Source organism: Homo sapiens, chromosome 4 (assembly GCF_000001405.40).
Source record: "Homo sapiens chromosome 4, GRCh38.p14 Primary Assembly".
Taxonomy (NCBI): Eukaryota; Metazoa; Chordata; class Mammalia; order Primates; family Hominidae; genus Homo; species Homo sapiens.
The window spans coordinates 16,552,072-16,576,912 of NC_000004.12; the positions used below are offsets into that span (position 1 = coordinate 16,552,072).

General features: G+C 39.8%; 1 protein-coding gene across 22 annotated transcripts in view; it reads right to left on the reverse strand.

The window, feature by feature from the left end:
* The window catches only part of LDB2 (LIM domain binding 2), a 397,105-nt gene that overhangs the window by 50,531 nt on the left and 321,733 nt on the right, over positions 1-24,841 (reverse strand). The gene's annotated exons all lie outside the window — the stretch shown is intronic.

Consider the following 24,841-nt stretch of genomic DNA (forward strand, 5'->3'; position numbering starts at 1 on the left):
GGAAAAATAAATCTTCCATTTGATTTGGCCTTTATCCTTGTTGGTTTGTATTATATTTTGTGTACCTGTTTTAGTTCCCTGAAGGCAAGGAAGAAGAACATTTTACTGTTGTTTGTGCCTGATACATCCTAAATGCTTACACACAAATATTAGTTGAACATATCAATGAATTAATGAATATATTTCAGATGGCGGTGACCCAGGAGTGTGTACAAAGCATTAAAAAATCCACTTTTTATTATTCCAATTTTTTTGAATTTTATCTTATTGAGAATGTTCCCATTTTTAAACTAATGCTCTGAATTATAATAAAAGTTTGCTCTTAAAAAACTAAAAATATCCAGGTTTTTCTCTTTCTAAGCATTCAACCATTGCAACTACCTAGGATTCCACCTTTTTTCTTGTTTGTAACGTGGCATACCTGTAAAACAAAGGCTACCATAGGACTGAACACAGACTCCCTCAGAGATAGTTCTAAAATGACGCTTATTACTCTTCTCTTTTTTAATCCCATCCCCTCTTGCCTAAATATCATAATTTTCTGTTTTTAAGATGATGATTTCTGAAGCACAAAGTTCCCGGAAGCTGACTGCTTTAATATCAAATCCAAGCAATAGCTCCTTTCTCAAGGAAAGCAAAGTTGTAGGCTACTGTCAACAAATACCTTTCTACCACAGATCCATAAAGATTTCTTCAAAGGTTTCTTTTTGACACTTTCTGACTTGGATGACTGAAAACAAACAAGCTAAAGTGAAAAAAATGAACAATCACAAGGACTGATGTTCGTCAGTCAGAGAAGGGACCTATCTAAGTAAACACAGCCTAGGACTCAGGATGGGCTTGGGCAGGTTGCAGCCAGAAGGTGGAAGTCAGTGACTCCACCACAGGGCAGGCCTGAAGTGTAGTCAGCCTCCAGATTACCAATCACTCTCACACATCCAGTGTAGACAACACAGCTCCAAATCTCCATGCATTCTGAGGAGCCATGTCAAAGAAAGAAATAGCCCTTCTCCATGCTAGGTAGGCAAAGAAGGATTTTCTTTGGCAGATTTAGTATCCTCAGTAACCTGGAAACAGGATTTTATTATTATTATTTTTTGAGACAGGGTACCTTGCTCTGTCGCCTAGGCTGGAGTGCAGTAGCAATCATAGCTCATTGCAGCCTTGAACTCCTAGGCCCAAGTGATCTTCCCACTTCAGCCTCCTTAGTAGCTGGAACTACAGGTACATGCCACCATGCCCAGTTAATTTTTTTTTTGAATTTTTTGTAGAGATAGATAGGATCTTGCTATGTTGCCCAGGCTTGTCTTGAACTCCTGGCCTCAAGCACTCCTCCCACCTCGGCCTTCCAAAGCACTGGGATTACAGGCATGGGCCACTGCACCTGGCCTGAAAATAGGATATTTTTATTGTCTCCATTTTACAGGTGAGAAAACTGAGGCATGGAGAGGTTTTTTTTGTTGTTGTTGTTTGTTGTTTGTTTGTTTGTTTTCTGTTTTTGTACCTCAACCAAGAATCCTTAACCCGTAGGTACTAATGGAATTGGTACTCTTGAACCTGACCAGGTAAGAAAGCTTCTTTTCCTATCAGTTACCTTAGGCTTAAGTTCTTTCTTAGGAAATGTCCTGCCCTGTCCCTGCCTCAGCAGTTCTTAACAGTGAAGAACAAACCTTTTATAAAGAGTTTTGTTCTAAGCCCTTTGTGTGAAGTAGCTTAAATATTCCTCATAACAAGATAGGTACCACTAGTATCCCCATTTTATACCTGAGCACACTGAGGCCTGTGGGATTAAGTGATTTGCCTAAGGTCACCCACATAGCTAGTGACTGGCCAAGTAGGAATTCATGCCCACACCCTCAAACTCTTAGCCACCACTCTGTCTGGATATGACACCACCACTAGAAACTAAGAATCCATCCTCTAGATCTCTCTCTCTTCCCCCTGACATCCCATTGGACGTATTCATTCAATGGCCTGAATTTTTTTTTTTTTTTTTGAGATGGAGTTTCGCTCTTCTGGCTCAGGCTGGAGTGCAATGGTGCAATCTCGGCTCACCACAACTTCCACCTCCCAGGTTCAAGCAATTCTCTTGCCTCAGCCTCACGAGTAGCTGGGATTACAGGCATGCGCCACCATGCCCGGCTAATTTTGTATTCTTAGTAGAGATGGGGTTTCTCCATGTTGGTCAGGCTGGTCTCGAACTCCCAGCCTCAGGTGATCCACCCGCCTCGGCCCCCCAAAGTGCTGGGATTACAGGTGTGAGCCACTGCGCCCGGCCAGCCGAAATGGTTTTTGAAACTCATCTTTTGTTTCCCATTGCCACTGGGTGCCGCCATTTTAAGACTTTTAATCTACTGTGGAGGTCAGGAAGACTCCTGATCTCCTTCCTGGTCCCTAAACTTTCCCATGAAGCCGGAGTGTTTTTTAAACCATTAGCTCTCAAGCTTGGCTACATGTTGGAATCACCTGGGAAGCTTTAAAATGCACTGATGCATTCAAAAAATAGAACACCATTCAGCACTGAAAAGAAATGAGTGATCAAGCCATGGAAAGACACGGAGGAACTGTAAATGCATATTGCTAAGTGAGAAAAAGCCTGAAAAGGCAACTGCATGATTACAACCATATAACATTCTAGAAAAGGCAAAACTATGGAGACAGTAAAAAGATCAGTGGTGGCCAGAGGTTAAATGGGGAGAGACGGATGAACAGGCAGAGCACACAAGATTTTTAGGGCAGTGAAATTGCTCTCTATGATACCACAATGATGGATTCATGTCATTATAAATTTGTCCAAACCTCTAGAATGTACAACACCAAGAGTGAGCCCTAATGGAAACTATGGACTTTGGGTGATTATGACATGTCAGTGTTGGTTCATTGATGTGACAAATGTGCCACATTGGTGGGGGATGCTGATAGGGAGAGAGGCCATGCATGTGATGCAGCCAGTGCTATATGAGAAATCTCTGTACCTGCACAATTTTGCTGTGAACCTAAAACTGCTCTGAAAATATGGAGTGGTTTTTTTTTTTTTTTTGAAGTTAATATGGGCAAGGCAACTAGAAAAAAAAATACTGATGTCTGGATTCCCTCACAGAGATTCTGATTCAATTGGTCTGGGATGTGGTCTGAGGACCAGGAGTTTTAAAAGCTCCCCAAGTGATTCTGATATTCAGTAGAGTTAAGACAAACGTTGTTCTAAACCAAAAATACAAGTTTATAAGAGGTGTCACATCTATTTAAAGAACTGCGTTACTATGGGAAATTCCTTAGCATGGCAGATGGTACCGCCCTGCGAATGCCTCAACCTGAATTTTCTAAATGTGTCTTTTAAGAATTTTTACCTCAACCTTCCTGCACATGTGTGTACACATACATACACATACACACACCAACAAACATGTGCTTGCATGCACATACTAAATACATGCTAATCACATGAAGTGTGTCATGCCTCCAGAATACACCATGTTCCTTGATCTTTCTAAGCCTTTGCACATTCTGTTCCCCTGGCCTGGAATACCCTTTCTCTCCTTTCTTGAATGCGAAACTTCTATTCACTGTCAAAAACCTCCTTAAATTGTTCCTTTCCTCTGCCTGGAAGCTTTCTCTGATCCTCTAAGGTGGAGGCTCTCCTCTCTGAGCACACATGACAGATGTATCTGCTCTCACTGCCTTAACTGATGCATAGGCAGGTGTTTAGATTATGTCTCCTCCTTTATTGTCAAATTGTTCTGAAGCATGGAATACATGCTCTGTGTCATCTGCCACCAACCACTCCGCCCTCACTCACCCCTGTCCAATTCAATCTCGCGTTACTCTCCCTATCACCCCATGCTCCAGCCATGGCCCTTCTTCTTCTTCTTTCTGCAATGGAACCTCTGTTGGGATTGATTCCTGAGTCAGGATTGATCCTCTAGCATGGCAGAGGAGTATTATGTTCTTCCCCTGTTTCTCCTCTAGCTAAAACCAACTCATCCTTAAAACAGTCCAACTATCACCTTCTCAGAGAAGCCTTCTGAGATTTCTCCCAGACTGGAGGCAAATTTCCTTTGTTGTATTCACTCATAGACTTATTATGTTCCTTTTCTCTAAATTTGAAATTATAAACATATTTTTGTGACATCACTTCACCCAACCATAAGCATATAAGAGCAGGAATGTATTTGTTTTTGCATATGTTTATATTTCTAGCACCTAGCACCAAGTCTGGCATCCAGTAGGCATCCTTTAAACAGTTGATATGAGAATGAATAAATGCCTGGCACATAGTAAGTACTCAATTATTTCAGTTATTATTGATAAGCTTGGTGAGAGCAAGCAATACATCTTCCTTTTTAGAACCCCCAGGCTTTGGAATATAGTGGGCACTCAGTAGGAGACTGCTTTGTGCATTATCAAAGCTAATGATATTCCTTGGACTTCATCTAATAATCAGCATGTTAAGTATGTCAAAGGTATTTTTCTCCATCTTAAAACCACAAACAATAAAGACTGTTTATTCACATAGTCATTGCTGCAGCTAGAAATTGCCTGAAGCCACTGGGAAATTAATAAGGAAGTAATGGTTTAAAGAGGGGTGAGAGACCTCTAATAAGAGAAAACCTAAGTGAACCTATGCCGTTAAAAGTTGAACTGACTCCATGTAAATAAATATAACAACAGAAAACATGGTTTTAACTACGTTTATTTAAATGAGTCAGTCTCGTTACCAGTTTGTAGTTGTACATAATGAAATCAGTCCATCATACATTTTTAAGAAGGGAAGAAATAACATAAGAACATTACTTTGGTTCAAATTTGGGGGAGGCAGATTCTAAAATTTTCCAGAAAACTCTATGGTCAGAAAACCTAAATTAATCTTTTTTCAAGTAGATTTTTAAATAGTAAATCTATGTGTTGATATTATCATATCCACAGATTATTCTAGAGAGTCATATTAAAACTGTGGCCATACTTTCCTTCCATGAAGAATTTGCAGAATTTTCATAAGAAGATAGATCTCGATATAGGAGGACAGCCAAGATGGCCGAATAGGAACAGCGCCGGTCTATAGCTCCCAGCGTGAGCGACGCAGAAGACGGGTGATTTCTGCATTTTCATCTGAGGTACCAGGTTCATCTCACTAGGGAGTGCTGGACAGTGGGTGCAGAGCACCGTGCGCAAGCCGAAGCAGGGTGAGGCATTGCCTTACTCGGGAAGCGCAAGGGGTCAGGGAGTTCCCTTTCTTAGTCAAAGTAAGGGGTGACAGATGGCACCTGGAAAATCGGGTCACTCCCACCCTAATACTGCACTTTTCCGACGGGCTTAAAAAGGCGCACCAGGAGATTATATCCCGCACCTGGCTCGGAGGGTCCTACGCCCACGGAATCTCGCTGATTGCTAGCACAGCAGTCTGAGATCAAACTGCAAGGCGGCGGCAGCGAGGCTGGGGGAGGGGCGCCTGCCATTGCCCAGGCTTGCTTAGGTAAACAAAGCAGCCGGGAAGCTCAAACTGGGTGGAGCCCACACCACAGCTCAAGGAGGGCTGCCTGCCTCTGTAGGCTCCACCTCTGGGGGCAGGGCACAGACAAACAAAAAGACAGCAGTAACCTCTGCAGACTTAAATGTCCCTGTCTCACAGCTTTGAAGAGAGCAGTGGTTCTCCCAGCACGCAGCTGGAGATCTGAGAATGGGCAGACTGCCTCCTCAAGTGGGTCCCTGACCCCTGACCCCTGAGCAGCCTAACTGGGAGGCACCCCCCAGTAGGGGCAGACTGACACCTCACACGGCCGGGTACTCCTCTGAGACAAAACTTCCAGAGGAACGATCAGACAGCAGCATTCGTGGCGCACGAAACTCCGCTGTTCTGCAGACACCGCTGCTGATACCCAGGCAAACAGGGTCTGGAGTGGACCTCTAGCAAATTCAACAGACCTGCAGCTGAGGGTCCTGTCTGTTAGAAGGAAAACTAACAAACAGAAAGGACATCCACACCAAAAACCCATCTGTACATCACCATCATCAAAGACCAAAAGTAGATAAAACCACAAAGATGGGGAAAAAACAGAGCAGAAAAACTGGAAACTCTAAAAAGCAGAGCGTCCCTCCAAAGGAACCCAGCTCCTCACCAGCAATGGAACAAAGCTGGATGGAGAATGACTTTGACGAGCTGAGAGAAGAAGGCTTCAGACCATCAAACTACTACGAGCTACAGGAGGAAATGCAAACCAAAGGCAAAGAAGTTAAAAACTTTGAAAAAAATTTAGACAAATGTGTAACTAGAATAACCAATACACAGAAGTGCCTAAAGGAGCTGATGGAGCCAAAAGCCAAGGCTCGGGAACTACGTGAAGAATGCAAAAGCTTCAGGAGCCGATGCGATCAACTGGAAGAAAGGGTATCAGTGATGGAAGACGAAATGAATGAAATGAAGCGAGAAGGGAAGTTTAGAGAAAAAAGAATAAAAAGAAATGAACAAAGCCTCCAAGAAATATGGCACTATGTGAAAAGACCAAATCTACGTCTGATTGGTGTACCTGAAAGTGACGGGGAGAATGGAACCAAGTTGGAAAACACTGTGCAGGATATTATCCAGGAGAACTTCCCCAATCTAGCAAGGCAGGCCAACATTCAGATTCAGGAAATACAGAGAACGCCACAAAGATACTCCTCGAGAAGAGCAACTCCAAGACACATAATTGTCAGATTCACCAAAGTTGAAATGAAGGAAAAAATGTTAAGGGCAGCCAGAGAGAAAGGTCGGGTTACCCACAGAGGGAAGCCCATCAGACTAACAGCAGATCTCTCGGCAGAAACTCTACAAGCCAGAAGAGAGTGGGGGCCAATATTCAACATTCTTAAAGAAAAGAATTTTCAACCCAGAATTTCATATCCAGCCAAACTAAGCTTCATAAGTAAGTGAAGGAGAACTAAAATACTTTACAGACAAGCAAATGCTGAGAGATTTTGTCACCACCAGGCCTGCCCTAAAAGAGCTCCTGAAGGAAGCACTAAACATGGAAAAGAACAACCGGTACCAGCCACTGCAAAATCATGCCAAATTGTAAAGACCATCAAGGCTAGGAAGAAACTGCATCAACTAACTAGCAAAATAACCAGCTAACATCATAATGACAGGATCAAATTCACACATAACAATATTAACTTTAAATGTAAATGGACTAAATGCTCCAATTAAAAGACACAGACTGGCAAATTGGATAAAGAGTCAAGATCCATCAGTGTGCTGTATTTAGGAAACCCATTTCACATGCAGAGACACACATGGGCTCAAAATAAAAGGATGGAGGAAGATCTACCAAGCCAATGGAAAACAAAAAAAAGGCAGGGGTTGCAATCCTAGTCTCTGACAAAACAGACTTTAAACCAACAAAGATCAAAAGAGACAAAGAAGGCCATTATATAATGGTAAAGGGATCAATTCAACAAGAAGAGCTAACTATCCTAAATATATATGCACCCAATACAGGAGCACCCAGATTCATAGAGCAAGTCCTTAGTGACCTACAAAGAGACTTCGACTCCCACACAATAATAATGGGAGACTTTAACACCCCACTGTCAACATTAGACAGATCAACGAGACAGAAAGTCAACAAGGATACCCAGGAATTGAACTCAGCTCTGCACCAAGCGGACCTAATAGACATCTACAGAACTCTCCACCCCAAATCAACAGAATATACATGTTTTTCAGCACCACACCACACCTATTCCAAAATTGACCACATAGTTGGAAGTAAAGCTCTCCTCAGCAAATGTAAAAGAACAGAAATTATAACAAACTGTCTCTCAGACCACAATGCAATCAAACTAGAACTCAGGATTAAGAAACTCACTCAAAACCGCTCAACTACATGGAAACTGAACAACCTGCTCCTGAATGACTACTGGGTACATAACAAAATGAAGGCAGAAATAAAGATGTTCTTTGAAACCAACCAGAACAAAGACACAACATACCAGAATCTCTGGGACACATTCAAAGCAGTGTGTAGAGGGAAATTTATAGCACTAAATGCCCACAAGAGAAAGCAGGAAAGATCCAAAATTGACACCCTAAAGTCACAATTAAAAGAACTAGAAAAGCAAGAGCAAACACATTCAAAAGCTAGCAGAAGGCAAGAAATAACTAAAATCAGAGCAGAACTGAAGGAAATAGTGACACCAAAAACCCTTAAAAAATTAATGAATCCCGGGGCTGGTTTTTTGAAAGGATCAACAAAATGGATAAGACTGCTAGCAAGACTAATAAAGAAAAAAAGACAGAAGAATCAAATAGACACAATAAAAAATGATAAAGGGGATATCACCACCAATCCCACAGAAATACAAACTACCATCAGAGAATAGTACAAACACCTCTACGCAAATAAACTAGAAAATCTAGAAGAAATGGATAAATTCCTGGACACATACACCCTCCCCAGACTAAACCAGAAAGAAGTTGAATCTCTGAATAGACCAATAACAGTCTCTGAAATTGTGGCAATAATCAATAGCTTACCAACCAAAAAGAGTCCAGGACCAGATGGATTCACAGCCGAATTCTACCAGAGGTACAAGGAGGAACTGGTAGCATTCCTTCTGAAACTATTCCAATCAATAGAAAAAGAGGGAATCCTCCCTGACTCATTTTATGAGGCCAGCATCATCCTGATACCAAAGCCCGGCAGAGACACAACCAAAAAAGAGAATTTTAGACCAATATCCTTGACGAACATTAATGCAAAAAGCCTCAATAAAATACTGGCAAACCGAATCCAGCAGCACATCAAAAAGCTTATCCACCATGATCAAGTGGGCTTCATCCCTGGGATGCAAGACTGGTTCAATATACACAAATCAATAAATGTAATCCAGCATATAAACAGAACCAAAGACAAAAACCACATGATTATCTCAAAAGATGCAGAAAAGACCTTTGACAAAATTCAACAACCCTTCATGCTAAAAACTCTCAATAACTTAGGTATTGATGGGACATATCTCAAAATAATAAGAGCTATCTATGACAAACCCACAGCCAATATCATACTGAATGGGCAAAAACTGGAAGCATTCCCTTTGAAAACTGGCACAAGACAGGGATGCCCTCTCTCACCACTCCTATTCAACATAGTGTTGGAAGTTCTGGCCAGGGCAATTAGGCAGGAGAAGGAAATAAAGGGCATTCAATTAGGAAAAGAGGAAGTCAAATTGTCCCTGTTTGCAGATGACGTGATTGTATATCTAGAAAACCCCATCGTCTCAGCTGAAAATCTCCTTAAGCTGATAAGCAACTTCAGCAAAGTCTCAGGATACAAAATCAATGTACAAAAATCACAAGCATTCTTATACACCCATAACACACAAACAGAGAGCCAAAACATGAGTGAACTCCCATTCACAATTGCCTCAAAGAGAATAAAATACCTAGGAATCCAACTTACAAGGGACGTGAAGGACCTCTTCAAGGAGAACTACAAACCACTGCTCAAGGCAATAAAAGAGGATACAAACAAATGGAAGAACATTCCATGCTCATGGGTAGGAAGAATCAATATCCTGAAAATGGCCATACTGCCCAAGGTAGTTTATAGATTCAATGCCATCCCCATCAAGCCACCAATGACTTTCTTCACAGAATTGGAAAAAAACTACTTTAAAGTTCACATGGAACCAAAAAAGAGCCCGCATCGCCAAGTCAATCCTAAGCCAAAAGAACAAAGCTGGAGGCATCACGCTACCTGACTTCAAACTATACTACAGGCTACAGTAACCAAAACAGCATGGTACTGGTACCAAAACAGAGATATAGACCAATGGAACAGAACAGAGCCCTCAGAAATAACGCCACATATCTACAACTATCTGACCTTTCACAAACCTGAGGAAAACAAGCAATGGGGAAAGGATTCCCTATTTAATAAATGGTGCTGGGAAAACTGGCTAGCCATATGTAGAAAGCTGAAACTGGATCCCTTCCTTACATCTTATACAAAAATTAATTCAAGATGGATTAAAGACTTAAACGTTAGATCTAAAACCATAAAAACCCTAGAAGAAAACCTAGGCATTACCATTCAGGACATAGGCATGGGCAAGGACTTCATGTCTAAAACACCAAAAGCAATGGCAACAAAAGACAAAATTGACAAATGGGATCTAATTAAACTAAAGGGCTTCTGCACAGCAAAAGAAACTACCATCAGAGTGAACAGGCAACCTACAGAATGGGAGAAAATTTTCACAACCTACTCATCTGACAAAGGGCTAATATCCAGAATCTACAATGTACTCAAACAAATTTACAAGAAAAAAACAACCCCATCAAAAAGTGGGCGAAGGACATGAACAGACACTTCTCAAAAGAAGACATTTATCCAGCCAACAGACACATGAAAAAATGCTCACCATCACTGGCCATCAGAGAAATGCAAATCAAAACCACAATGAGATACCATCTCACACCAGTTACAATGGCAGTCATTAAAAAGTCAGGAAACAACAGGTACTGGAGAGGATGTGGACAAATAGGAACACTTTTACACTGTTGGTGGGACTGTAAACTAGTTCAACCATTGTGGAAGTCAGTGTGGCCATTCCTCAGGGATCTAGAACTAGAAATACCATTTGACCCAGCCATCCCATTACTGGGTACATACCCAAAGGACTATAAATCATACTGTTATAAAGACACATGCACACGTATGTTTATTGCGGCACTATTCACAATAGCAAAGACTTGGAACCAACCCAAATGTCCAACAATGATAGACTGGATTAAGAAAATGTGGCACATATACACCATGGAACACTATGCAGCCATAAGAAATGATGAGTTCATGTCCTTTGTAGGGACATGGATGAAATTGGAAATCATCATTCTCAGTAAACTATCGCAAGGACAAAAAACCAAACACCGCATGTTCTCACTCATAGGTGGGAATTGAACAACGAGAACACATGGACACAGGAAGGGGAACATCACACTCTGGGGACTGTTGTGGGGTGGGGGGAGAGGGGAGGGATAGCATTAGGAGATATACCTAATGCTAAATGACGAGTTAATGGGTGCAGCACACCAGCATGGCACATGTATACATATGTAACTAACCTGCACATTGTGCACATGTACCCTAAAACTTAAAGTATAATAATAATAATAATAAAAAGACATTATTTAAAAAAAAGGAAGCTAGATCTCCCTCAGGATTCCAGGATCTCGTTTCTATCTGTGATTTTTTTATTTTTTATTTTTTGTATTAAAAACCTCCATGTCATGTTTGAAGAGTCTCTTTGGGTTCATGGACCAAATTACAAACCATAGTATTATCAAAAACATTCAAAACCATCTCATCAGTCATCAGATTTTTTTTTTTTTTTTTTTTTTTTTTTTTTTTTTTTTGAGATGGAGTCTCGCTCTGTCACCCAGGCTGGAGTGCAGTGGCACGATCTCGGCTCACTGCAAACTCCGCCTCCCGGGTTCACGCCATTCTCCTGCCTCAGCCTCCCGAGTAGCTGGGACTACAGGTGCCCACCACCACGCCTGGCTAATTTTTTTTTTTTTTTTGTATTTTTAGTAGAGACCGGGTTTCACCATGTTAGCCGGGATGGTCTTGATCTCCTGACCTCGTGATCTGCCCGCCTCGGCCTCCCAATGTGCTGGGATTACAGGCATGAGCCACCGTGCCCAGTCTCATCAGATATTCTAAACCAGCATAGCAGAAAGACTGGAAGGCAATCACACCATGGCGGACCTGATCATGGACACACATGGAGGCTCTGCAGTCCCCAGTTCATGGCTGTTCTTTTAGAGGATCCACAGATTATTCCACAGATCTCCAGATCAGACTCCACAGAAGCCCTGACATCAAAGATTCTCAATGGGTAGTAAAATAGAATAAATACTCAATTACAGTGATTGTCCAATGCTGAATGTTAGTTAACACCCTTGCAGGGTTACAGCTGGGTCCCAGGCTCTCTTCCCCTCCCTCATTCTCCTTTCTTTTTGAGCTTCCCCCTTCTTAATGGTCTTCAAGATTTTAATTACCAGATACTCAAAAGACTCACAGCTTATATCTAACTGCCTTTTTGACAACCCTCAGTGTCTCAAATGCCCTGAAATCCAACACATAAAAAAATAAACAGGCTGGGCGCTGTGGCTCATGCCTATAGTCCCAGCCTCAGTCCCCAGGAGGCTGAGACAGGAGAATCACTTGAACCTGGGAGGTGGAGGTTGCAGTGAGCTGAGATCTCGTCACCGCACTCCAGCCAGGGTGACAGACCGAGATTCTATCTCAGAAAAAAGAAAAAATAACAAACAATCAAAAAATACAGCTCAATGCCTCCTTCCATTTAACCACCCATGCAAAAGCCAACTGAAATATTCTTCCTGTCCGTATTCAGTGAAGGGGACCAGCATCCAGCCTGCTCTACAAGCTAAAATGCAGAAGGCATCATTGTCACCCCCATCTCTTGTGAGGTGTCCTTATTCAACTTAATCATCAAAGTGTGCTAATTTTTCTTTCCTAAAATCTTTCAAATGCATTCACTTTTCTAAGGGATCTTTCTTTCAACAGCTTCCATTGCTTTGGAATATTATGTTTTATTTATTCACTGTGTATGTTAAAATATATTAAAGGCAGCATCTTCAAATAAAAAAAATTACCAGAAAGAAACTCTCCACAAAAAAGCCCCAGGCCCAGATGGTTTCACAGGGGAATTAGGGCCATGTAAGTTCTCATAGGAGAATTCTACACAACTTTTAAAAGTGAAATAACTTCAGTGCCATCCAAATTGCTTTGGAGAAAGAAAAAAAAGAATATTACCCAAATGGTCATGAGGCTCGGATATTAGTAACACTCAACACTGACAATGACATCATATAAGAGGGAATATCAACTGAATTTCTCGTTTGAATCCAATTCTCCTTTACAATTACAAGAAATTGTAAATAAATATCAGCAGTAATTAATGTGGCCCAGTAAAAGGAGTGGATTTTTTTTTAGAAATGAAATAATGATTAATTAACAAGAAATCTATCATGACGAAATTAGTTTTACAGACAGGAAAATCAGCATGAAGTCAAATCTCAGACCTACCACTTACTGGCTATCTGGTCTTGCCCAAGTTACATAGCCTGTGAATGTGGGTTTTCTTAACTTTGGAGTGAGAACAGTAATGATACCTAGTTCTAAGCTGGGCAAAGATTAAATGAGTTGATGCATGTAAAGAAATTAAAATACTGCCTTGAGCATCAGTTGCACTGAATAAGCATCAATTATTCTTATTAATATATTTACTCATAATAATAAAAAGAGAAGAGTAAAACCGTCTCCTTGGACATCAGAGATACATTTGATAAAATTCGACATCCATTTTTTTTTTACTTTAAATAGCTCTTAATAGAATAAGAATAGATATTACCTTAACATGAGAAATATGTCTATCTCAAATCTCAGATAATCACCTTGCTTAATGAAAAAATCTAGAAGCATTCCTATTAAAGTCAGACACAAGAGAAGGATGTTAATTATCCTCACTATTATTCAACATTTTTTCTGATGGTACTAGCCAATATAATTAGACAAAAGAAAGAAATAAGATATAAAAATTTTAAAAGACTTAGTAAAATCATTGTTATTTGAAAATGATATAAAAATTTAGCTAGAACATCCAAGAGGGTAAACTAAAAAAATTATAAATATTAAGAATAGTTTAAAGGTGTCTGGGAATAAAATTAACATATAGAAGTCAATAACTTTCGTAAGTACAAACCAAATCAATTAAACTACAAAATGGAAGAAAAGGCCCAATTTGTGATCACGAAAGTTATTAAGAAATGGAAAATATGTACATATATATGTCTAAATATATGCATATGACCACACACACACATGTATCTATACATACACACATATACACACACACAAGAAACTCTCAAAATGTTACCAAGAGACACAAGAAAGATCTCAAAAAGGAGTTCATTGGAGAAGCTATCCAAGATTTTGAACAGAAAGACAAAACATCATCATAATAGCAATTTTCCCAACATAAATTTGTAAATTTAACCAGATTTCAATAAATACCAACTAATTTATGTTCAAATTAGATAATCTGATTCCAAAGTTCAAATGAAAAAAAAGTCACAAGGATTCACAAATCCTGAAAAGAAGAATGATGAGGTTATACAAATTCTAACAGATGCTAACATATATTATAAAGAAATAATAATTTAGCAAGTGTTATATTGGATTAAGAACACAAAGCCAAAAAATACAAAGAATAGAGAACAGGAATTGGAATACAGAAATGGGCTCGAATACTTAAGGTAATTTAGAAATATGCTAAAAATAATATTTCAAATCAGTGAGAAAAGGACGTATCAGTCAATGAATAGTGTTTGGGCAACTGAGTAACTAAACAGTTTCCTCTCATTTTGTAACCCCTAAAATTTCAGGTGGATCAATTATTTAAACATAAAGAAAAAAATCACCCCATTTTAAAGGTGGCATTAGAAAACATAGAAGAATATATCATTGTTAGCTCAGAGGCCTGTTACTAATTACAAAACATAAACCAGATGACATAGGGAAAATACCACATCATCTCACACAAACAAAAACAAAAATATTCAATGGAAAGCAAACTTAAAAAAAGAACTTATGAGCTTGTAATGCAATTTTAGTATATCACAGCAAAGTTGTTTCTTTAAAATATAACATCCTACATATCTGTAAGGAAAAACAACCCAGTTAAAAAATGGATTAAGTATACGAACAAACAATTCACAAGAAAGAAAATAAAGTGGCTCTTAAGTATATGAGAAGATAATAAATATCTCCTGTCATAAGAGACATACATATTAAAATGAAAATGAGATGCTATTTTTCACTGATAATAGTGAAGAAAATTTTAATAACTTCTAGTTCTTGAAAAGTGGGAAAATAGTCATTTTCATATGCTGCTGGTGTAACTGAAACTTGGTACAACCACTATGTTGAATAACTTGAAAATATCTATCAAAATTACAATGTATATATCTTTTCATCTGGCAATTCTACTTCTAGAAATTTCTCCTACATATTTAGTTTTTTAGTTGCTCCTGTGCAAAATCAAATCTGAAAAGATACTTGTACATCATTGTGAATAGTAGAAAAATATTAGAAACAACCTAAATGTCCATCAATAAAATACAGGCAAAATGAATTATGGTATATCTTTAGAGTGATAACCTTCTCTAGGATATATTTCTATTGCTTTTATAAAGAATGCCACTGCTCAACGGTTAGCACTGCAGACATAGAGTGTGTGTGTGTGTGTGCGCGTGTGTGCATGCGTGTGTGTGCATGCGTGTGTGTGTGTTTAAAGCAATATATGCTTGTATATTCATGGAATATCTCTGGAAGAAAATGCAAGAAACTGGCAATGTTAACTGCCTCTCTCTAGAGAGGGGAACTGAGTGTTTGGGAGGCCGAGGCGGGCGGATCACAAGGTCAGGAGATCGAAACCATCCTGGCTAATGTGGTGAAACCCTGTCTCTACTAGAAATACAAAAAATTAGCTGGGTGTGGTGGCGGGCGCCTGTAGTCCCAGCTACTCAGCAGGCTGAGGCAGGAGAATGGCGTGAACCCGGGAGGCGAAGCTTGCAGTGAGCCGAGATCGTGCCACTGCACTCCAGCCTGGGCGACAGAGCGAGACAACGTCTCAAGAACAAAACAAAAAAAAGTTTACATTTCAAGCATTTTTACACACTTTGGATTTTGTGCTATATGAATAAATTACAGTACAAATACTTTTTTTTAACAAAATGAGATAGTGAGGGTTAGTTAAATGGCTTGCAGTGTTTGGCACAGAGTCATCTGGCAATAAATGGCTGTTATATTCACTATTATAATACTGATTAGGAATTGGAAAGTGACGGTGAGAAATGGAAAATCATAGAACCAAGTGGTGGCCTGTTTTGGATAAAGGATCCCTGTCCCTTAAATATTAGAGTGAACCATATCAAATAGTGAATATTTAACAATCTTTGACCTGAAAAAAACAGCAATTCCATATAATTCAATCCAATATTATTTTTGTCTGTGTAAATTAGACTGTAAGGTGATGGTGACAATAATGGTGGCCGTTAGTTCAATTATTTCTCACCATCTGAACCTACTTCTAGATTTAGAGAGTAAGGAATCAGAGAATTAATTAAACTAATGGGTATACTGGGCTGTATAAATCAATTTTGTTCCTTAGTTTCAGATATCGAGTAGCTTAAACGGGAGTACAAAGGATTTATTTGAAATATTACTGAAAACTCATTGATTCCTGAAATAGGATAGAAAGAGAATGGACATTGAGGGTAAGTGAGGGATGTCTGTTTTTGCAAGAGAACCTTATGGCTTAAAAAGCATTTCAATATAAGTGGCGTCATTTATTCTTTAACCTGTGCAGGTAGGTATTAGCCCACTAACCCATCCCGAAACCCATTTTACAGAAGAGTAACTGTTCCTGTTCTTAATTGCAAGCCAGAGTTAGATGCAATGTACTCATCCCTCAGCATACTCAGGAGATTGGTTCCAGGACCCCCACGAACACCCAAATCTGTGCATACTCAGAGCCTTCCCTGCAGAACCTACAGATAAGAAAAATTGGCCCTTCATATACGTGGCTTTCACATCCTGTGATTACTGTATTTTTGAACAGTCTGTAGTTTTAAAAAATCCACATATAGGTGGACCCTCGCAGTTCAAACTGATGTTGTTCAAGGGTGAACTGTGCAATTAATGTTGAAGTAATTAATTGACAAAGGATAAGACCCACTGTCGAAGCCTGACCCCTCTTCAACAGTCAGAGGAATTTCGCAGGCAAGGTTTTATCTTTCCTGCCTTCTGTTAGTGAGATACCAAGAATTCCAAAACTTATGAAGTTACATGTAACAGGGTTCCTGCCATTTTGTGTATATGTGTAAATTCTGCTAATCAGTGTTAATCAACATCATGTAGACCTCTGTTTTTCTACTGAAGGTTTCTACTCATGGTAAAACTGTTCAAGAATTTGGTAGGTGGCCACATATTTTTTTCTTTAGGTAAAGCACAGACAGAATCCAAGGCGAAAGTTGGAAGAGGAAGGATAAAAAATAACTTCTTCAATTCCTAAGGCTACAAATACTTTCGAAAAATAAAATCCACATTGTCAGTTCTCCAGAGTTGACTTCTGCTCTTAAGTCAAAAGTTTCCATAATGATCCATGGCATGATTGAACGGAAAAGGGGTTGCTCCATCCCTACCTTCTTTCACAAAGTTTAGAAATTAGGCTTGAAGAGAAGAGAGAGGAATTAGCTGCTTCTTGAGTAGACTTTGAGTCTTATGCTATGATTGGCCAAGAACAAATTTTAAGGAGATCAGAGCAATATGTATGAGACTCTGAGGAGCATAGACATAAGTAGTATCAAATAGGGAGACCAGAGTAGACCCAGACATACAGCAGATGCTTAGTAAATGCGGGCTGAATGGAAGTGAATGAGTCCTTCAAATGGAATACCAAGAAAAGACCACCCCAAACCATCCTATACCAGTAGGCAGATAAACCTGGGTCAGCCTCCATCCCTCCATCCATCCATCCATCCGTCCATCCATCCATCCAGCTGCTTGGCGTCAGTTTCCTCATTTGCAGCATGGTATTTATTATTTTATATGTGGTAGTTGTTAATATTTCTATTCTGTATTCTTTCTTTTCATAATGCTTAAGTTGGAAAAGGGCTTAGAAGCCATGTTTAGCTGTCTTATTTTACAGATAAGGAAGGCTTATCAAATAAAGTTAATGACACCCCACACCTACCCTCACATACAGGGCTGTTTATGAATTGCAAATAAGAACATCAAGTCTCTGGAGGAAGAGTGCTGCAGGCATTCAGTCCATGATGTCAAGGACAGTTAACAGCCTTCGCAGAAGTGCTCTCAAGTATTCACCCAAAGTGTTTGCTTTTTAACACTCTGACTTTTCAAGGAGCACATCTCAAGTTGAGTAGAATTAAAATGATTGACCCTCTCTATTCACTGCATATCAGGTCCTTGTTTTAGGCATTGGGGAAAAAGAAACACAATGCCTGCTTTCAAAAAGTTTACATCGGCTGGACACAGTGACTCATGCCTGTAATCCCAGCACTTTGGGAGGCTGAGGTGGGCGGATCACGAGGTCAGGAGATCGAGACCACCCTGGCTAACACGGTGAAACCCCATCTCTACTAAAAATACAAAAAATTAGCTGGGTGTGGTGGCGGGCACCTGTAGTTCCAGCTACTGGGGAGGCTGAGGCAGGAGAATGGTGTGAACCTGGGAGGCGGAGCTTGCAGTGAGCCGAGATGGCGCCACCACACTCCAGCCTGGGAGACAGAGCAAGACTCTGTCTCAAAAAAAAAAAAAAAAAAAAAAAAAAAAAAAAAAAAAAAAAAGTTTACATCTCAGTGATAGCCACGGGAGGCAGAGAAACAACAGAAGGGTAAACTGATGATTATGTAAGATAATTCAACTGATGAAAAATACTACAAAAAACAAAACAAATGATGAGGTGTGAGAGAAAATAACTAAGGTAGAAAGGTTGCCTAAGATAAGCTAATCAGGAGAGACTTCTTGGAGGAAGTCACATTTGTCTTGCAATCTGAATAATAGGGAGCCAGTCATAAAAAAAATTTGGTTAGAGTATTCCAGGCAGTGGGATGATGATGATGACGATGATAATCATAAAATAGCAAATATTTATTGTATGCTTACTATGTGCCAGCTTTATCGTGAACACTTTTCTGGTACTATTTTATTTAATGCTCTCAATTACTCATTGAGATAAGAGGCTATTATTATCCCTGTTTTATTGGTGAGGAAATTGAGGCACAGAAATGGTAGGCAACTGCCCAAGGCTCTACAGCTAGTTAAGGATCCTGATGCAGCAAGTACAAAGTCCCTGGCATGATAAGAAACTTGGTATGTTGGAAAAGCAAAAATCAGGCCAGAAGTTGGGGGCAGGGAGCACTGGAGCTTCAAGGAGATGAAGTTGGAGAGGCTAGATCCCGTAAGGTCTTGCAGGCCAAGCTAAGTATTTTGGATTTCATTTGGAGTGCAGTGGGCTGTCACCAGATGATTTTCAGCAAATGAATGGTTTTAAGGTTCTCCTTCGAGGAGTGACACAGCTTGATCTACATTTTTTAAATATATGTGCTGACATTAGCATAGGGATAAGAGCCTGGGTGATAAAGGGTGGCCTTGAAACCTGGGATTTTGAAGTCTCAGATCAACAGGGATGGGAGTTATCGTGGAATGAGTCCAGGAGGGTTTTTGATCCCATTATGCTTAAGCCCTGAGTAGTTTTTGGTGTTCTCGATCCATTGCATCTGTGGGCAATTCGGCAAAAAAAAAAAAGCCTGGTCATCTCAGTAGAAATGACTTCAATCCAGGTCTTTGATCCAGATCTCTTAGGAGGTAACATTTTTGCAGCATGATAGTGAGGAAGGCACTAGGTCAACATGGGATGTAATCCCAGCCTGGCGGTTTACCTTCTGCATGAAGTTAGATGAGTCCCAGGACCTTTCTGAGCCTCAGTTTCTTTTTCTGTAAAACTAGGCCATTAACACCTCCCTCTCAAATGTCTATTTAGGATTAAATGAAGCCAACTTTGTGCCTTGCCCTGGTAGGACTCCAAGATACTAGTTCACTGCCCTTTCTTCTCCATTGAGAGGTATGTGGTGGACACTTTTTAAATTATATTTGTTTTCTCTTAATTATGGTAAACACTTATAGCTGTTCCCAAATTCATTATCTAGATCAAGACCAGGGACATTAGGTTCATATGCCTTCTTCTCTTTCACATATTTGTTTATTACCACCTATAGTGTGCCTTAAACTCTGCTAGGGACAGACGATGAGGCCATAGAATCTACAGTAATAGTTGCTGTCTTTAAAGAACTTGAGTTTTCTGTATTCAGCAAGATGGTACCTGGGCAAAGTGGAAGAGTGATCAGAGACCAGCCACAGAGAAGGGTGTTGACTGAGTTCACTAAGCAGTGAAGCCCGCCAGTTCCTTTTCTGATTTCAGGCTACTTCCCTGCCTATGCCTTAAATCAAAAATAAATTCAAACAACTCCCTTCATGCTTTGCCCTCCCCATTTTCCTGATATACTGTTTTTTTTGTTTTTGTTTTTTAACCATTCTAGACAATTGGGAAGACTGTTTCCTGGGAGCAACAGATCTGAGCTCCATCTGCACTTAACTTGCAATCCCTCGGCTTTCCCTTAGACTGACTGCCAATTTCCCACCTTACCGTCTGTCTTGACTTTCAGTGTCTTGTTAAACAATTTCTTTCTCTTTCTCTAGTGCCTGAGACTGGGAAATTACTTTCTTTAATCTAGGCCCTATTTGTACACTTAAGGCCAAAAATTTTGGCGGCATCTGTAGCTCTGAAATTGTTTTCAGTTAGAATTGCTCTGCTGAAATACTGTTTTTGTTTATTTTGTATATATATGTATTTGTTGTTTTGTATATATATGTGTGTGTGTGTATTTTTTTTAATGTGCTGATAGTCATTTTCTTTGGCCTGACTTCAGAAATCACTGATTTCTAGACACTGACCTGTCTGTAACTTATGGTTATTCACTTCTTTAAGAGTTAACTGCATTAATTCCCTTATCATGTAGTCATATGTACTACTTTTCTATCTCCAAATGCAATTAAAAGTGCCCTTCGGGTGTTCCAAGTTTTAATCATTCTCTGTGTGCCGCATTCCCATGGCTCCAAAGGGCTTTCTCTGCCTCCTCTCAGATGGGGCCTTTCTCCAAGAAAGAGGAGGCGGAGGGGAAAAGAAGGAGGAGGAGGAGAAGGTGAAGGAGGAGGAAGGGAAAAGTAAGACTGAGATCTGACAGCTTTGTTTCAGAGGCCGAATCCTCACCTTCTCTAAAGCACTGTCTCTCCTTTATGGGCCCATGCCAGGGTTCCAGTTCTCAACCCCACGGTGGAGTGGTGTAGCAGCTTCTAAGAACAAGCCAGGCCTGAGCCCAGGAAAACGTTGCTGCGGGATCGGCTTTGTGGCCTTAGGCATTGATGGATTTGTATGTGTAAAAATGGGGATAATGATACTTATCATTCCATTAGGTGCATATAGTTCCTAATATATATATAGAGGGAACTAATGGTATTATGATAATTGTTATTCTGGTGGGTCCTTGGGGACAACGGAGCTGGTTTCTGAATCAGACTCATGTTACAGAGCTCAATGCTGGTCCTTTCCAAACTGCCTGTGACACGTGCTCCTCCAGCCTTAGACTAGTGGCCACTTGCCATATGAGCTCGATAAACCTTGAATTGGTCTATATCCCAGTCAATGAGATGAGTCATGCACTCCCAGTCAATGAGATGAGTCCACTGGTCATGCACTATCAGTCTACCTGACAATGCCGAACAGTTATAGTAGTCTTAAAGTTCTTATTCTCATTTTCTGAACTCATGACAGATTGGTACCAGACAGTTTAAAAGCCAGCAGTGACCCATGGGCCACACTTTGAATAGCAGCTTTTATGCTTAAGTCTTTTGAGGATTTATAGTATCCTGGGCATTGAGTGAGGCATAGGAGATTTTCTGGTGTGGCTTCTGCCTCCTCAGAACGTCAGGGCTTAATGAGGGTTTCTTGCGGCTCTGTCAGAATGCATGAATGGTGAATGGTATACCTGGATTCCAGCCTACTGTGACTACCAGTAACTACGGGTCATCTCAGTCTCTGAGCAGGGATTCCTGTTTCATCCTCAGGCTTGGCTTGCCATTTAGGTGGAAAAGGGGGTTGAATTGTAATGCCTTCTCCTGTCATGTAACCAAGGGAAGTACCCTGGCTGGGAGTCAAAACCTCACAAAAATAAGAAACAAAAAACCTCGGCCGGATTCCAAATGCTGACTTCAGCCACACTCATTCTGCTGCAGGCCACTTTATGTCATTCTGATGGAGGTCATTTTCCAAAGCGAATTGCCCAATTCTTTTAGGCACTGGACTATACTCCTGTTGCTATCAGCGGAGGCTACATGCAGGGACCAATGTTCTTTAAAGTATAACAATAACAACAACGAAAATCTTCATTCACTTGGGAAATTAAAGGCACAGGATCAAAAACCACTACTGTGAAATCTAAATGCTCTCACACTCAGTTGATGATACAGCTTATTTGAAGATTTAGACTTACTTAACAATAACAACAACAAATAGCCTATAGATAGTATCAAAAATATCCCAATGATAATGATTATACATATGTGATAACACTTGTACTGGGGAGAGGTGCCAAATACAGGCACATGTTCCAGCTCCCTCAGGCCACACTTCTTGGCAGACATCATCAATCAGTCACTCCTTCTCTTCTTTCTGATCTTGCCTGCAGCATCAGAATCTCAGCATAGAATTCAAAGCCGCAACCAATGTATGGACTTGGCTTCCTGGAGTAGTAATTTACAGTTTAGGAAGTGCTTGTCACATGCATTATTATTTTCACCCTCAACCTGTAGTTACTGTGATTCAGAATGGACATAATTATTCACACATGAGAGAACTGGGGTGCTGAGAAATTAAGGCAACTTGATCAATATAATGTAAAAAATAAATGGCAGCAGTACAAGTTGAGTCCTGATCTGCTGCACTCAGAAAGTACAGGAGGAGACTGGCATTTATTATGCTTCTTCTGTTTGCCAGGCTCTTTCAAACTGTGGTCCATCTAATCTTCATGCCAAACTTTTGAGACATATTATTCTTTCCAAGTTTCAGATGAAAAAAATTGGATTCGGGGAGCTTAGGAAACTTGTTCAAGGTTATTGTCGGTAGTAAGGGGAAGCATTAGGATTTGAACCTACATTTTGCTGACTCCAAAACACATTTATTTGTCTTCTTCTTATTATTATTCCTATTATTAATGCCTCTGCCATTCAGCCTTCTACTTGCAGAAAACATTGTTAAGAGCAGGACATGACAAAGGTGTTTAGGGGAGTGGTATTAATGACACCAACAATTTGAACATGACTTCCTCGCTCAACATTAGAGAAATGATTAAACACATCATAGCACCACACAGGCATATTTGTAGCTATTTTATGGTTAATGATGACTATGCAGAAACATGCAAGTGTTTACTAAATAACATTAAGAAATTGTACGTAACCTGATTGCATTTGTGCAGAAATTATGCATCTGAATGGATAAAGAGGAAGAGAACACACAAAGAAAATATCTTTTGGCTGAGATACAGGATAAGATGTTTTAAAGTCATGTAAAACATAATGCTTAAAAAAAATAACACCCCACTTTCAGCATTGGACCACTCTTCCAGACAGAGAGTCAGTAAGGAAACATTGAACTTAATCTGCACTAGAGACCAAATGGACCTAATAGATATTTACAGACCATTCCATCCAAAGGCTGTAGAATGCACATTCTTTTCCTTGGCACATGGATGATTCTCAAGGATTGGCCATACGTTAGGTCACAAAACAAGTATTAAAACATTCAAAAAAATTGAAATAATATGAAGCACCTTTTCTGACCACAGTGGAATAAAACTGGAAATCAATCACAAGAGGAATTTTGGAAACTATACAAATACATGAAAATGAGACGATATGCTCCTGAATGACCAGTGGATCAATGAGGGAATTAAGAAGGAAATTGAAACTTTTTATTTTTTTGAGACGGAGTCTCGCTCTGTTGCCTAGGCTGGAATGCAGCGGCACAATCTCAGCTCACTGCAACCTCCGCCTCCTGGGTTCAAGCAATTCTCTGCCTCAGTCTCCCAAGTAGCTGGGATTACAGGCACCTGCCATCACGCCTGGCTATATTTTGTATTTTTTTAAATAGAGATGGGGTTTCACCATCTTGGACAGGCTGGTCTTGAACTCTTGACCTCGTGATTTCCACCTGCTTCGGCCTCCCAAAGTGCTGAGATTACAGGCGTGAGCCAGAAACATCTTTTAAAACAAATGATAATAGAAACATAACATACAAAACCTATGGATACAACAAAAGCAGTACTAAGAGGGAAGTTTATACCTGAAAGTGCCCACATCAACGAAGAACAACTTCAAATAAACAACCTAACAATGCATCTTAAAGTACTAGAAAAACGAGAGCAAACCAAATCCAAAATTTCTAGAAGAAATAACAAAGATCAGAGCAGGAATCAATGAAATTAAAATGAAGAAAACAATGCAAAAGATGAAGGAAATGAAGGTTGGTTTTTTTGAAAAGTTAAACAAATTAGAAAAACCTTGAGCCAGATTTTAAAAAAAAAAGACAGTAGAACCAAATAAATAAAATCATAGTTGAAAAAGGAGACATTACAACTAATACTACAGAAATTTAAAAGGTCCTTAATAGCTACTATGAGCAAGTATGCCAATAAATTGGAAAATCTAGAAGAAAGGGACAAATTCCCAGACACAGGCAACCTACCAAGATTGAAACATGAAGAAATCCAAAACCTGAACACCTCAACAATGAGTAACAAGATTGAAGCTATAATAAAAAGGCTTTCAGCAAAGAAAAGCCCAGGAGCTGGTGGCTTTACTGCTGAATTTTACCAAACATTTAAAGAATTAATACCAATCCTACTGAAACTATTCCAACAAATAGAGGAGGAGGGACTACTTTCAAACTCATTCTCAGAGGCCAGTATTACCCTGATCCCAAAACCAGACAAAGACACATCATAAAAAGAGAAAACTACAGGCCAATATCACTGATAAATATTGATGCAAAAATCCTCAATAAAATACTATCAAGCCAAACTCAACAGCACATTAAAAAGATCATTTGTCATGACCAAGTGGTAGTTATCTCAGGGATG